At 54.0% G+C, this 15428-nt stretch overlaps 3 annotated features.

Annotated features, from left to right (window-relative positions):
• Positions 1628–1922: a silencer, noted in NCBI's record as "tiled region #3316; HepG2 Repressive DNase matched - State 9:DNaseU, and K562 Repressive non-DNase unmatched - State 21:Repr". NCBI's record gives its function as "represses a minimal TATA promoter and a strong SV40 promoter by Sharpr-MPRA in HepG2 and K562 cells {active_cell/tissue: HepG2 | K562}" and the evidence as "EXISTENCE:reporter gene assay evidence [ECO:0000049][PMID:27701403]".
• Positions 7481–8213: an enhancer, noted in NCBI's record as "H3K4me1 hESC enhancer chr3:184321402-184322134 (GRCh37/hg19 assembly coordinates)". NCBI's record gives its function as "activates a minimal SCP1, AML or CMV promoter by ChIP-STARR-seq in naive H9 embryonic stem cells {active_cell/tissue: H9 hESC(naive)}" and the evidence as "EXISTENCE:reporter gene assay evidence [ECO:0000049][PMID:30033119]".
• Positions 13658–14159: an enhancer, noted in NCBI's record as "H3K4me1 hESC enhancer chr3:184327579-184328080 (GRCh37/hg19 assembly coordinates)". NCBI's record gives its function as "activates a minimal SCP1, AML or CMV promoter by ChIP-STARR-seq in naive and primed H9 embryonic stem cells {active_cell/tissue: H9 hESC(naive and primed)}" and the evidence as "EXISTENCE:reporter gene assay evidence [ECO:0000049][PMID:30033119]".

Below are 15428 nucleotides of genomic sequence, written 5' to 3' on the forward strand. Positions count from 1 at the left end.
TCTCATTCCTGCCCCCTCACTCCTTCCCCATCCAGGTTCCTGTGGCTGTTGACTGAGCACCCGGCACCCCTTTGTACTGCCCTCCTGTCCCTGCTTCAGCCCAGGCCTTACCTGGCTTCAGCCAGATCCCCATTCAGGTACACTGAGATATTTCAACCAGCAGAAGGGGCTGACACTTGTGTTATGTTCTGTTCCTCCGAGGGGAGGCTGAAGGGCAGCAGTGTGTTCATTTCCTGGGTAATAATGTTTTCTCACAACTAGATTTTATAACTTTGACCAACCCTTCCCCTGCCCTGACCTTCCCCCACTCTCCTGCCCCTCCCATCCCCGAAGGCTCACCTTCTTCTCCAGGCCTCAGGTTCTCTCTTCACAGAAATCCCTAGGTGGTGTGTGGTGAGGCATCGAGTCGGGCCACTCCAGGTCCCTACTCTTTTTTTTTTTTCCTTTTTTTGTGAGACAGAGTCTCGCTCTGTGGCCCAGGCTAGATGCAGTGGTGCAATCTTGGCCCACTGCAACCTCTGCCTCCCGGGTTCAAGCAATTTTCCTGCCTCAGCCTTCTGAGTAGCTGGGCACGTGCCACCATGCCTGGCTAATTTTTGTATTTTCAGTAGAGACGTGGTTTCACCATGTTGGCCAGGCTATATTCCAACTCTTGACCCCAGGTGATCCGCCTGCCTCGGCCTCCCAAAGTGCTGGGATTACAGATGTGAGCCTCGGTACCCAGCCAGGTCCTTACTCTTGAGTTTGAACAAACCCACTGGGCTGGGCCAAACCTGGGGCACAGGCTGGGGATAATTTGGCTGGGCTGGTCTGATCCCCCTTGAAACCTCTAGCTGGGTTTCACCTCTAGCTGGGTTTCCCAGGAAGTCTTGTCTACCTCCAGGATTTCCATGCACTGATGCCGCCCCAGGGATCCATGCCCCAGGATGCAAGGGACAATGGAATCAGAGACCATGCCTGGTGGCTCTTGTGCTGACCAGAACTGCCATCGTTGGCAGGTGTGGGCTTTCAATGGTGAGAGGTGTGAGAAGCCCCTGGGGGAGAGTGGGCAGCGCACAGTTCCCCAAACAGAATCTTTCCAGATTTGTCTTCCCCACTGCATACCAGTCCCTCAAGGATGGAGTCCATACATTATGCGGGGGCGGCCCTTTGGGCCTCTGGGCCTCAAGCTTTCTAGGTCTCACCTGTTGCCCCAGGGCTCTGAGGAGCCCAGTCAGGCCAGCTGGAAAGGTCCAGAGAGACCATTTCTCTGACAGTGGCATCCCCACTCCTCTCCCAGGGGCAGAAAGCCCCTCTCCAACCCCCATGACAGATGGCACCCAGACTCTGCTTGGCCACTCCCGGGGATGGGTACTCATGACCTCCCAAGGCAGCCCCCTCTTGCTGGGGTAGCTGGGATGATTGAAGAGTTCAAAGTGGAGACTCCAACAAGCATTTATTGCTGGTCCCTCTGTGGGAGTGAAGAGGGGGTCAGGGAGCATAGCTGTGGATGTCTCCATGAGGGAGGGGGTGGGGCAGGGCTGCCTGTTTGGGGTGAGGCCCAGGATCCTGGGGAAAAGGCCCAGGCCTAGGAAGCCAGGGATGGGATTTGAGTCTCTGCTCTGCCATTAACTCATCGTGTGGCCTTGAGGGAGTCCCTCCTCTCCCTGGGCCTCAGTTTCCACAAGTGTAAACTTTGGGGGCTGGGCTCGGGGACTTCTCAGGGCCCTGCCCCTGGCAACGGATGCTCTTCCGTGAGTCTATGAATAGCTGGCACAGAGGGATCGGGCCTTGGTCCACAGGGCTGGGCTGGCTTGAGAGTGCTCAGAGAATGAGCCCTGTGTGGGACAGGACAAGGTTCCCTTTCATTTCAAGAGGTCTTGGCAGCCGCCCAGGGCCCGCAGGCTCTCCCTCCTGCCAAGGTCAACCTGACCCTGACCTGGGGGGCATCACTGCCTGGGGCGGTTGGGGTCAGGCGCTGGCAACTTGGTTGAGAAGGAGCCCAGCACAGACGTTGACTCCCGTCCTCTGGGCTGGGGTCGGGGTCTGAGCAACATCAGCTCTGTGTGCCTTGTGTTTCTGACAGTGACCCAGAGCTCTTTCCCCCACCCCACTTTGGTGGTCCCTTGGAAAGACCCCCACTGGCCTTGGCATCAGGCACGTCTGGTATGGAATCCAGACCTGCCACTTACAGGCCAAATGACCTTGGGCAAGTCCTTGCCCCTCCTCATCTGGAAGTCAGTGACCGTAATTTCTACCTTGCATAGTTGCTGGGAAGATAAGGCCCACGAGCAAGCATCATGCGCGCAGCACACACTCCACGAAGAGTGGCTGCGATGATCATGACCAGACGCCCAGCTAAGCAGGGAAGGTGACAAGGAACTAGCCGGGACTCGGCTCTTCCTGCTGCCTCAGCCCTCTGTCTCTTGGTCTGTTTGTCCATCAGGGCATTGGGGGGTTCCAATTCTCAGGCTCTAAAATCTGCACAATTTAAAGTAGTCAAAACAAACTCCACTCACTCTATTTATGCTGAGAGGGAACAAGCTCCTGGCCGGGCCTAATGGGTTCCAGGTGTGCTCTGTGCCCTGCAGCGGCTGAACCGGCAGCAGTGGTGGTGGCTGTGACTGTGCCTGGCTGGCTGAGAAGACCCAGCTAGGCCAGTCCTCTCTAGCCCAGACCTCCAGCCTATGAAAACTGTAGAGCTGGAGCAGGCCCTACCCAGTATGGTGGGACAGATGTTAGCCTTGTGCTCAGAGGGCCTTGGGTTCAAAATCAGGAGGCGTTGTCCGCACGCCCAGCAGCACACACGGGGGGCTCCCAGACTCTCCTGCCTTTATCGCAACAGGTTCTGGGGCTGCCCAGACATTTTTCACAGATCTGTAAAACTCCCTTTCACAAGAGGTCGGCTGTGGAAGTGACCTCCCAGAGAGGCTCGGGAACCAGGTGGGAGCCCAGAGGGCATGAATGAGGTTTCTTTTATTACCATTATATATTAATTATCCTGTTATATAATCAGAGTGTCAGCTGTCATTTATTAATGGCCAGCCATGGGCCAGGTACTGTATTTGGTGCTTTCTATCCAGGATTCATTGAATGCTTACAGCCACACATGGAGATGACAGGCTAATGTCATCTCAAAGAACACAAAGGAACAGGAGGCTCAGGGATACCAGGAGCCTTGCCTGAGGTCACACAGTCAGGAACTGGCTGGAGTGGGACTTAGGCCCAAGGCTGTTTGATTCCCACGCTAAGGTCTGCTCACCATACTGGGCAGGCCTGTCTCAAGGGCCAGAGAGAGTGCATGTGTGTCAGTGTGAGGGTGGATGGGAGGATCTGGTTGGAAGCAGAGCAGGGAGTAATTTTTCCTTGAGTGACAATGCCAAATACCCATAAGGTGAGCGCACGACACCTTCCCCCATTCTAGCTGCACCCCCTCCCAGCACCCAGTCCTCCTAGTCCCAAGCCTGGGCCCTGTTCTGCTACCTGGGTGAACAACCTCTCCCTCGGCCTCCTTACCACCTCTGGACCAGGCCAGCCCAAACTCTGCCCCAGGAAATGGAGGGGACTGTTGGCATTGAGGCCACCATCAGATCACCCCACTTTCGCCCATATCAGCTGGGCCCTCCAGGACAGACTGGGCAGTCCACCGTTGGGGGAAGGCTGAAGATCCACTATGGAATCACAGATGGCGTGTGGGCACGATTGCAAGTGGGGTGCCTTGGCCCCATTCTTTGGGTAATTATTAGTAATAGTAATGTTTAGCCTCTGTAGTCTCAATAATCATCCCATACACACAGTGTCCTTACTGATGTAACTTCTCAAAGCACTGGGTACTTTCCTTCACACTGCTTACCAATTTGTTATTAGACACTTACACACATATTTTCTTGGTTAATTCTGCCCTCTCCCAGGGCTGCAAGCTCGAAAAGGACAGTTGGCTTTCAGCTGTATCCCCAGTGCCTGGCACAGTGTTGACACATAGTACAGGCCCCTGATAAATTGTGTTGAATGCACTTATGGATAAATGAGTGTAATGGAGTCAGCAGGAAGCTAAGAAGAGGTAGACAGGACTACGAAGCGGGAGGAATATGAGGATGAAGCTTCAGGAGTCTGTGGATGGAGCCGGGCTGGTAGGGCATATCCAATAGGGACAGGGAGGAGGGACACTGCACTCTTGGTGGCCCCTGGGAAGCCAGGTATGGTTCTGGCATGAAGGAGCTAAGCTGTAAGGCCCCTTCACCTGCCTGGAGCTGAACCGTGGCCTCCTGCAGGTCAGGAATCAGAGGAAGCCTGTGGATGAAGCCCTCTCTTGTATCTCCAGACTTTTGCAACCCAGAAGAGCCACCACCCCAGGAGACTTTTGCAACCCAGAAGAGCACTTTCTCCCCTCCCACCAATACTCTCAAGAGGGGATTCTGGAAGGACCTCAGTATTTAGGCCATTTTAGCGAGGAGGCCGTGGAGAAGGGACCTGATTACTCAGGTTGCAGAATGGAATGCTCCTCAGCCTGCATCCCCTTTCCCTCCTGTCTCTAGAGTTGTTCAGTGCATGACCCTCTCTCAACCAATCTCTACTCCTTAGCCCAGTGTTCTTGGGATGGTGGAAAGGGAAGGCGTTTTGGAGTCAGAAAGATCTGGGTTCAAAACCAGCTCTTCCACTTTCTACCTGAGAGACCCTGGGCACACTTAGCTTCTCTAAGCCTCAGTTTCCACATCTCTAGAATGGAGAAGATAGTGCCCACTTTGCAGTGTGGCAGCTATCCCAGTGCCCGGCACCACACAGGCACTCACTGATCACCTGACCTCTCATTCCTGCTCTCACCAACTGGCTGTGTGACTTTGGGCAGGACTCATTACCTCTCCCTGTCTCAGCTTCCTCATCTCAAAGACAGGGTTGGATCCCACAGTCTTGAAGGCCCCTTCTAGCTCTGACTTGCTCGGTTCTATTCTGAGCAGGGAGCCCCACCTCTGGGGAGGGGGAATACGAACATTCTTTCAGCACAGATTCAACCCAGGCACATGCTTGCCCAGCCCCATCCCTCACATTTAGCCTGTAGCTATTGCCACATGGGCCGCACCCTTGGCACTGCCCTGCTCCCCCCACCCCCGCCTCACTCGCCAGGGCCACAGGTGGGTGGGTTGTTCTTGTGGAACTGAAGGAGCCTGAGAGGACAGACGAAGAGGGTGGGAGAGAAGAGGAAAGAGTGGAGGGGCTGCGGGGGTAGCCAGGTGGGAAGGGCGGGGCTTTGAGCCTGGTAGAATGCTAGCTCTGTCACTTTCTAGCGGTGTATGTCCTTGGGCAAGCGGCTTTAACCTCTTAGAAACCTGTTTCCTCGTTTATGAGCTAATAATAATAACAATTTTTTAAAAACCCATTAGATCGCAGTGAGGATTAAATGAAAGAATATCTGTCAAGTGCCTGGCACTGTAGCGTTCTGTTCTGGGGTGGGGGGAGGCAGGCACCTACACCCTTCCCTCGACCCGGGTAGGGGGAAGTTCCACGAAGGCCCGTGGGGGCGCCTTGGCCACCTTCCCGCAGGCGAACCCGAGCCAGAGAGGCCCACAGTCCTCGCCGCAGCCGGAGCCACCTCCCGAGGGCTGTCGGTCTGGGGTCCTTGGCCCGGGAGCCCCAGCCCGCAGAGCAAGGGGAAGGCTGCGGCCCGAGCCGGCCCCCGACCCACCCGCCCCGCCTCGGCCTCGTACAAGCACCTTTGATCTGCAACCTTCAGGGGGATTAAGAGCCTGAGAGCCCCCCTCCCCGGGGTACCCCGCTCCCCAACGCCCTCCCTCCGGGCTGACCTCCCAGTCTGCCGCCCGGGCCGGGGGCCGGCTCCGCCGCCGGTGGTCCCCGCCGCTCCTGGCGGCCGCACCTCCGGGCAGGCCACTTGGATTACAGGGGCAGCAGCCGCGGCTGGCGGCTTCGGGGAGCCCCGGGGCTGGGGCCCGCGGGCGGGGCGGGAGGGGAGGCTGGGGGCGGCGGGCCCCTCCTGGCCATTTTGGCCGGGGAATCTGTGTAAAGTGTTTAAAAAGAAAAACTCTCCGGAGGAGGACGTAACCTTTTCTTAACATCTGGGGCTCAATTAGCTAATGACAGCAAAGCCTTCTCCGGTGTCGCTGACCCCTGGGCGGCAGCCCAGCTCCCCCACCCCCGGTATTTATACAGCTGCGGCCCCTCGCTGGGACGGGGGGCAGGGGGCTTGACTGGGTTATCTCTGCGGAGATCCGCCGCCCACCCCAAAAAGGAGAAAGAAAAGGCTTAGCACACGGTCCCACCCACCGCCCCTCGATCCTCCTTGTTGCCCCTCGGTCCTCCTCGTCGCCCCTCACTCTTTCCCTCTCTCCAGCTCTTGGCGCTGCCTCTGCTTTCCTGCCCCTGGGCTTCTCTCCTCTCCCTCTCCCCCATTTTCTACTCTTCCTCCTTTCTGCTCCTCTCCACTTCTCTTTTTTACCTCTCCCTCTCCCCTTTCTCCCGTTTCTTCTTCATCTCTGTTTTGTCTCTTGTTCCTGCCCAGCTTTCTCACTCCTCCCTCTCTCTCCCCCTGCTCTCCTCCCCTTCTTGCCCACCACCCCCTTGCCTGCCTGTCTCTCTTTTCGCCCCTCTTTCTCTGTCTTTTCTCTCTCCCTGGCGGCCTCCCCTCTCTTTCTGACTCTCTGAATAGCTCCCTTGTTCCCTCTCTGTGTTCCTGTCTATCCCTCTCATTCTAGTGCTTCCTCCCCACCTTTGTCTCTCCCTGTCTCAACCTCTGAATGCCTGTCTGTCCTCCCAGAGGTGTGTCCTACCCTGGCTGCCAGGCAAATACCCCCAGGGGAGCAGACCTATTGCTGGGCCACCTCCGGACCAAGCATCCTTTCCCGCTGAGTTGGGCAGGCCTGTGGCTGGGCACTGCAGGGCTGACTCCGGATCCTGGGTGTGGGAGGTGTGGGAGAGCTGTGTTTAAGGCTCTCCATGGCTAGAGCCAGAGGAGATCCCCAGGGGCTTCCCTAGAACCCTCCACTCCAGCTGGTGGAACCTCGCCTTCCCTGGAGGCTCCTTCCCTGCCACTCCACCCATCCCCAACTCCCCCAACACCCCGTGCCTGGTATTTTGAAGCCCGGCACAAGTGCAGAGACACACTTTCCTCTTTATCCTCCCTGAGCGCAGTTAGAACAGGCTGGAGTCCCTTAAAAAAATTCACCAATATTAAGAAAAAAGTGATAAGCTCAGAAACTATAAATAGCACAAAATAGTCATGTCCAAGGGCAGCGCAGAGCAGCAAAGAGCACACAGTTTGGAATGAAAGGAGCTGGATTCAACTACTAACTCCATGGTTTAAACAGTTCTGCCATCTCCAGGGAGTCATTTGAGCCTCAGTTCTGTCATCTATAAAATGGGCATAATAATCGTTATTAAACAATATTGAAACATTGTGTTCTTTCATTAAGGCATTTACTTTTTGTTTTCCTGGGGAAAATCTTGGACTCTGATTTTTCCAGGATACAGCTGTGTTCCAAAATTCTACCTCCTTCTCCTCCAAATACACTTGAAGCTCTCGCACCATTGCTGACCCCTCTTATCTAAGGGTGAAGGCTTTTCGCAGAAAAACGCAAACATAGGCAACATTTGCAAACAATGGGTTGAGGGGGAAGGCGATCCTAGAGCTCCTGAAACCTTTGGTTGATGCTGGGTGGGACCCTGGGCTCACTGCGGCGGGTGCTTTGTGAATCCTCACAACAACCAAACGAAAAGGGTCCTGACGTCCTGTTTTACACTTGGGGAAACGGGGAAGCAATTGTCCAAGGACCACAAAGCGGACTAGGAACCCAGGGTCTCGCCTCTAGAGCTTTGGGGAAGTGGGGGTTTCTCCCAGCGGGTAAGGGGTAGAAGCAAGGTAGGTGGCTTGGAAACGTTCAGTAGTCGGACCTGGGCCACGGAGGGCACAGCGGCCACTCTTTCTGAGAGGCAGAGGTCGGTGGGCTCCACCCTCCCACTCCGAGCCGGCCTGACCCTCGGTGCAGGCGGAAGGGGGGCCGCGGGGAGCGGAGGACGGTGCCGAGGCCTCGCTGCTGCTGCAGCGCCCCCGCCCCGCGTCGCCTCCCAGCCCTGGCTCCCAGTGCTCCGGGCTTGCTGACGGTACAGGGTGGACAGCCCCGAGACATTTTCATCAGATCTCGTCTCCCGCAGCCCAGCGCTGCTGCCGGGGGTCGGACAGGGCCGATCCCAGCACCCCTCCCCCGAGCCCTGGCTGGGCGAGAAACCGAGATGGTGGCTGCAGAAACCGGAGCCCCCGCGCCGGGGCGACCGCGAGGGGCCGAGGCCTTTGAGAGCGCTGCCGCCCCTTGCCAAGGTCAATCAAACCCTCCCACGCTCCGGAGGCGCGCGCTGCGTGCTCTAGGCAGCGGGGATTGGGGCCGGAGGGGCGCGTCCCGGCGGGGCCGGGCGAGGGTGGGTGGGGGGTCTGGCCTGGGGGGCGCCTCCCGCCCCCTCTTGGGGAAGGTGCTCGGAGACTCCCGGGCCCTGGGCGGAGAGTGTGGGGAGGCTGGGCTAAAGGCAGAGACCCAGGCCGAGGGCTCTGACCCACCCAAGAGGAAATAGCTACTAATTAGGGACGGGACGTTTTTATGCTAATATGCACCTGGCTGGGCTTTTCTGGAGGCTGAGAAAGTGTGGAGTGGAAGGGAAGAAGTTCCGGAGAGCGGGAAACTTCCGGAAGCACTTGATTCCTGGATAAAAGACAACTCTTGCTCTCCTGCTCACCCGCTGTGTGGCCTTGGGGAAGTTACTTAGGGACGTGTAGGAGCTTCAGTTTCCTCCTCTGAAAAAGAGAGAACACGGTCAAGTTTCTTCCCAAGCTCAGTCACTCTGTCAGCAAAAAGATGGAAAGCCAGCCCTCGGGTGGCTCTTGGAGGATGGAAAGGGGACAGAATTGTGGGAGGTGTGCGTCGCGGGACAGAGTCCTAGGAGAGCCGGGTGCACACTGTCAAGGGCCTGCGACTGTCTTCACTGTTGCCCAGAGGTGGAGAGTGGGCAGTAGAGGGAGGTCGAACAGAGGTCCTCCGATTGTTGGACGGAGTGTCAGGAGGTGCTCCGCTGTAAAAGAAAATGGGAGGTGGATGGGGAGTAGTGTAGAGGAGTGGGTATTCTATGGTGGGACCGACTTGAGCTTAATCATAGAGTTGGGGTGGAGGGGAGGGTGGGTTGAAGATGCCAAGGAGAGAAAAGGGAGATGACTGATTGAGTCAAGTCCTGAAGAAGGCCTAGTGGGTGGGAGCCAGGCAGGGTGCAGGTTGGAAGAAGTAGGAGACAGGTTGGAAGTGGGGAGGAGGAAGGGGAGAGGAGGAAGTGGTGGAAGAGGAGACGAAGAAAGAAGGGTGAAATTCAGGGTATTTTGAAGGGAGGGAACACCCTCCATTGGCCTTACTCAACTCAGCTCAGTATTGGAGGAGGCCTCGGTGTTCTTCACAGACTAAAGAACCAAGAGCAGATTTGGGCTGGGCACAGTAGCTCATGCCTGTAATCCCAGCACTTTGGGAGGCCGAGGCGGGCAGATCACCTGAAGTCAGGAGTTAGAGACCAGCCTGGCCAACGTGGAGAAACCCCATCTCTATTAAAAATACAAAAATTAGCCAGGCATGGTGGCGCACACCTATAGTGCGAGCTACTTGGGAGGCTGAGGCAGGAGAATTGCTTGAACCCAGGAGGCGGAGGTTACAGTGAGCCGAGATCATGCCACTGCACTCCAGCCTGGGCGACAGAGTGAGACTACATCTCAAAAAAAAAAAAAAAGAGTGCATCTGGAAGAATCCACCATGGAGACTCAAGCAGGAGTAGGGTAGGTTGGACAGAAAGGGCTGATGAGCAGGGCTGCCACTGAGGGTGGGTTACAGGAATTTGAAAGCAAAGTAATAGAAACCTTTGAGCTCATGGGAAAGGGAAGGCGCTTACTGAGATTGACTTGGGATTCATGGTCTCACTGAATTCTCACCACCCAGTGTGGTCTGTGTTATTTCCATTTTACAGATAGAGAAACTGAGGGTCGGAGCAGTAAAGAACCTTGCCCAAGATCATTCAGCTAGTGATAATGAGATGAAAGAATGGTTTGAACCCAGGTCTGTCTGCTCCCAAAATGAGGCTGCTTCCTGTGGGGTCCTCTGGGCAAGAGTCCTGACCCTGGGGCCTTGGCAGTCCTTCCCTCCCTGGGTGTGGCCATCCTGGGAGCACTGACCCGTTTGGCTGGAAGGAAGGGGCTGGGCATTCTCAACTGAGTACAGGCTGCCCTGAGCCAGCTTGAACTTAGCAGGAAGCCCCCAACCCAGCTGAGAGGAGAGGGGGAAATGGTAGGCTGTGCCACCACCAAGCCAAATGAGATCAAACCATATATTTTATTCTGCAACATGCTATTTTTCTCTTAATATTTCCACGCTTATATATATAGGCCTATTGTTTTTAAGTTGTGTACTACTCCTTTGCATAAATATTTCATTTCTTATTTATCTATTCCTCTACCACTGAACATTTGTGTTGTCTCCAGTCTTGGAATTACAGGTAATGCCCACTGAACATCCTTGTGAGAATATCTTTGTAATGACACAAGTGCTTCTAGAGGATAGATTCTTAAAAATGACATCAATGGGTTAATGGTATGCTTGTTTTAAATTCTTATAGATAGTACTAGACTTCTCTCCAAAGATGCTCTATCAGTTTCCACTGCCTCCATTAAACTATGAGTGTGCCCACCCACTGACACCCTCGCTACTACTGGGTATTCTCTCTGTCTCTTTCTCTCTCCATATAGATAAGTTTGGGGTGGGGGGCAATCTACTGAATGAAAAAGAGTTTTTCACTTTTGTTTTCATTTGTATTACCCTGAGTCTCTACAGCTCTGCCAAAGGTCCACTAGCTGAAGAAAGCATTGTGAAGAAGCGAAGAAGAGCCCAAGACAAGTAGCAGCGATTTAGGGCAGCTCTGAGGAGGAACTTACTCTGTAGATAACGGAGGCACCCGAATTCCTTTCTCGGTGCACATTCTTATACTCCAAGGAGGATCGCACGACCCCAGTAGCTCGGGGTGACGGCTGGCTACCTAGAGTCTCATGGCAGTCAGCCAGACACTGAGTGATGCCCACTCCCCATGGGCTGCAGGGACAAGCTAACAGGCTGCATGGGACAGAAGATGGCAGTTTTCAGGGAGGGCAGAGGAATGGGTTCAGCTTTCTGAAAGAACCAGGGAAGAAGAGGGTCACCATGGTGGGGCAGGCTGGCCCTGGGTACTAAATGAAAACAGGAAGGTCAGTAGTTTGAGGAGGTGGCAGATGGGAGGGAACGGGATGCCAAACTAAGCTTAGCAAAGGTGGGACTGGGCAGTTGTGGCCGCACTTCCCCCGTCCCATAGGCATATCCACCCCAGCCTATTGATGATAATAACATGACTCATATTTTTGAGCCTTTACTGTATTAGACTATTAGACACTGCTTTTTTTTGTTTTTTGTTTTTTGTTTTGTTTTGTTTTTTTCAGACAGAGTCTCGCTCTGTCACCCAGGCTGGAGTGCAGTGGCGCAATCTCCCCACACTGCAACCTCTGCCTCCTGGGTTCAAGCAATTGTCTTGCCTCAGCCTCCTGAGTAGCTGGGACTACAGGCGCACGCCACCACCCCCAGCTAATTTTTTGTATTTTAGTAAAGACGGGGTTTCACCGTGTTGCCCAGGCTGGTGGCAAACTCCTGAGCTCAGGCAATTTGCCTGCCTCGGCCTCCCAAAATGCTGGGATTGCAGGAGTGAGCCATTGCATCCGGCCTAGATACTGCTTTAAGTGTTTCAATATTTTGAGTGACTTTATCCTTTTAACAATTATGTGAGATAACTGTAATTATGATCCCCATTTCATAGATGAGGACATGGAGGCATAGGCTTAAGTTGCTACCCAAGGTCACACAGCTAGAAAGTGGCCAAGCGGGGATTCAGACCCAGGCCAGGGTCTTGAGAATCCACACTTCTAACCACCTCACATGTGGCTTTTCACAGCCTTCCTTAGCCAGTAGAATTACCACTGCCATTAATTAAGAGTGGACCAAGAACATTCAATTCTTTGTTTCTAATGCTTACAAGGCTTGAAATAGAAGGTGCTACCCTAAATTTATAGGTGAGAAAAGTGAGGTTCAGACAGGCTGAGCACCTTGGCTAAGATCACCCACATAAAAAGAAGTTGAGCCAGACTTTGCACTCAGATCTCTATGAATCAAAAGCCCCTGCCCCTTGCATATCACTACAGGATCTTTTGCAACATGAGAAAGGAAATCACACAATCACAGAACAGTCATCCCCCCAAAAATACCTCTTTCCTGTAGAGATGAGTGTGTGTCAGGGCAGCCTGGAGGGAGCATCTGTGCACTGTGTGGTGGGGGAAAGTGGGGGCAAGGGGGAACAGTGGGCTGTATGCAGTGCTGTGGAGAGACCATCTCCCCTCTATCAGCAGGGCTGACTGGGAAGCAGAGTGGCAGTTTGGGAGGGAAGTCTGGGGAAGCCATCCCTTTTGTTACTGGAACCTAGAACCTCTCTCCACCCCCATCCGCTCCATATCCACCTCCAGCTTAAGAAAAGCATGAGTTGGTATCCTGGAAAGAGCTGTTTTTGAAGACCCCCAAGTCACCCTACAGGCTGACCCAAGAAGGACTGCCATTTCACCTTATATGCGTTACCTGTTAAATTAAGCATCGTCTCTTTCTTTCCTTCTATCTTTCTTTCTTTCTTTTTTTCTCTCTCTCCCTCTTTTTTTTTTTTTTGAGATGGAGTCTCACTTTGTCACCCCGGCTGGAGTGCAGTGGCACAATCTCGGCTCATTGCAACCTCTGCCTCCCGGGTTCAAGCGATCCTCCTGCCTCAGCCTCCTGAGTAGCTGGGACTACAGGCACATGCCACCACGCCTGGCTAATTTTTTTGTATTTTTAGTAGAGATGGGGTTTCACTATGTTGGCCAGGATGATCTCAATCTCCTGCCCTCGTGATCCACCTGCCTCAGCCTCCCAAAGTGCTGGGATTACCGGTGTGAGCCACCGCACCTGGCTGTCTTTCTTTTTTTAATTTTTGAGACAGGGTCTCACCCTGTCACTGAGGGTGGAATGCAGTGGTGCTATCATAGCTCATTGTAGCCTTGAACTCCTGGGCTTAAGCAATCCTCCTACCTCAGCCTCTGGAGTAGCTGGGATTACAGGCATGCACTACCATACCTGGCTAATTTGTAAATTTTTTGTAGAAAGGTCTCGCCATGTTGCCCATACTGGACGCATTGCTCTTTCTAAGGGTATATGTAAAAGTGCAAATTGCCCTTGGACCTAGCAACATGGTGAAAAGGATGTATCAGTCATTCACACCTTCCTGTGAATTAGTTTCTCAGCCAGGACAGTGTTTCTCAAACTAGGGTATCTACTTTCAGAGTTCCTAAGTGCTCTGAAGAGTTTTAAATTTTGGATGTAAATTTCAATGATGTTAAAATATTTTAGCAGTTATAAAGACAGAACTCTTTGCAGTTAAACATTTTCATAGACTAGAACTTCAGTTCCTTACGTTGGCGTTGCTCCAGTATGGGTCTGTGAACTTCTGGGAATTCACAGATGGGATCTGTGAGAATTGCTTTTCCTTTCAAGAGGTTTGCTCATTACACGGGTTTGGGAGACACTTCGCAAGAACTAGATGGGTGTGAGCCTTTTCAGCCCCAGTGCCATGGTTGCCAAGGTGCTGGGGACCCAGAGATCTGGGTTCTAGCCTTGGTCACTTGACCACTGGTGCCTCAGTTTCTCCACTTGAAAATTCACTCACTCTTTTCCACTTTGCAGCGTCCTCTCTGTCAGGCCTGTGCTGGCTGCTGCTAGGGGTAGGAGATGAACAAGGCCAAGCTGGTGAAGGTGCCAAACGTGGCACCCTTCTGTCTGACAATTCAAGGCAGAGGGGAGATAAAGGCTATGGGGGTCCAGCAGAGGAAGAGGTCACTTCTGCCTGCTGGGTGCAGTGGGGCTTTGCAGCAGAACTGGCTTTGAGCTAGGCCTTGAGATGGGGCCACAGCAGGCAAGGAGGCCAGCCCTCCAGGCAGAGAGGGTGGGTGAAGCGGACCGGCTGCGACAGGCTTGTGGGGAGAGTCAGGGTGTGATGTGTATTTAGGGAACTGGACCTGTAGCCAAAGGACCTGAGAGATCATCTCAGCCAACTCTTTAGGATTTAGGGGAATGTCAGGAGGCTGAATTGGCTCAAGGGCCTCGTCAAGATCACACAGCCAGCTGGGGGCCCTGCTGAGAACAAGGAGGTAGGCAAGATGTTTTTCCATCTGGAGCTGAGCTCCCAGCCTCAGGAATGTTTCGGGGGGTCCAGCCCATGTTGGCAACCCCCTCTTCCACCACCCACTCCATGAAGCCTAACACAGGCTCTGCAACCCACCGTCTCTCCTGCCCCCAAGGCTACTGAGGCCCACAGACCTGGGGGGCGTTTTCATCTGATTTTCACTCAAGGAAACAGCCACATCCTGACGGAAGCCAAGTTGGAGGGAGGTCTTTAGCTCACCCTTCCCAGCCCCCTAGTTCTTGGGGGTTGGGGCGGGGCTCTGATAGCCTTCAGTTAACAGGGGAGGAAGCTTCCAGGCTTAGGCAGACAGCCTGCCTCCACCAAGCCCCAGGAGCCTTCTCTTCTTGGCTGTGGGGGACTCTCAGGTTGGGCCCACCCCTTTGGGTCTAGAGAAAAGTCTCCCCTCACACAGGCCTCTCAGGGCCCATATCTAGTCATCCTGTGTGGGCAGAGAGGGGCTCACTGCCCCAGGACTAACTGGATAGTGACCACCAGAACGAGGCTGGGCCCAAAATCTTGTACCCGCTTCTCTCAGCTAAGACATGGAAAGAACAGGCTAGTGTGAGCGGCCATCACAGATGCCAGGCAGGAGGGCTGTGAAGCCCAGATTTACCATCGCTAGCCTGGGTTTGCTTGCTGCTGCCATGACCACCACCGACCACCACCATTGTCACATTTCCGTTTCTACCACCATCACTGTTTCCATCTCTACCATCGCTATCTTCATCTCAACCACCCTCTCTGTCTCCACTATTATCACCACCTCCACACCCGCCACCATCAGCATCTCTATCACCATCATCTCCACCTCAACCATCACCTCCAGCTCCACCGTCATCACTATGCACCGCCCCTGCCGCCTCCACCATAACCACTGCTTCCATCTTTACTACCATCACCAACTACCTCCGCCAGTATCACTACCGGCATCTTCATCCAACAACTGCCCTCTCTGCCATCATCACCACCTCCACCAGTATCACTACCTTCATGACAATTATCACCACCATTTCTACCACCACTGCCCCTCTTACCTCCCCTGACACGTCTAACCACCGCCAGCACAGTACCCCACCCACCCCAACCTCTGTCCATTCGAATCCATCCATGCTACCTATAACATAAAGAACTGCCATTTGGGCTAA

Source organism: Homo sapiens, chromosome 3 (genome assembly GCF_000001405.40).
Source record: "Homo sapiens chromosome 3, GRCh38.p14 Primary Assembly".
Classification (NCBI taxonomy): Eukaryota; Metazoa; Chordata; class Mammalia; order Primates; family Hominidae; genus Homo; species Homo sapiens.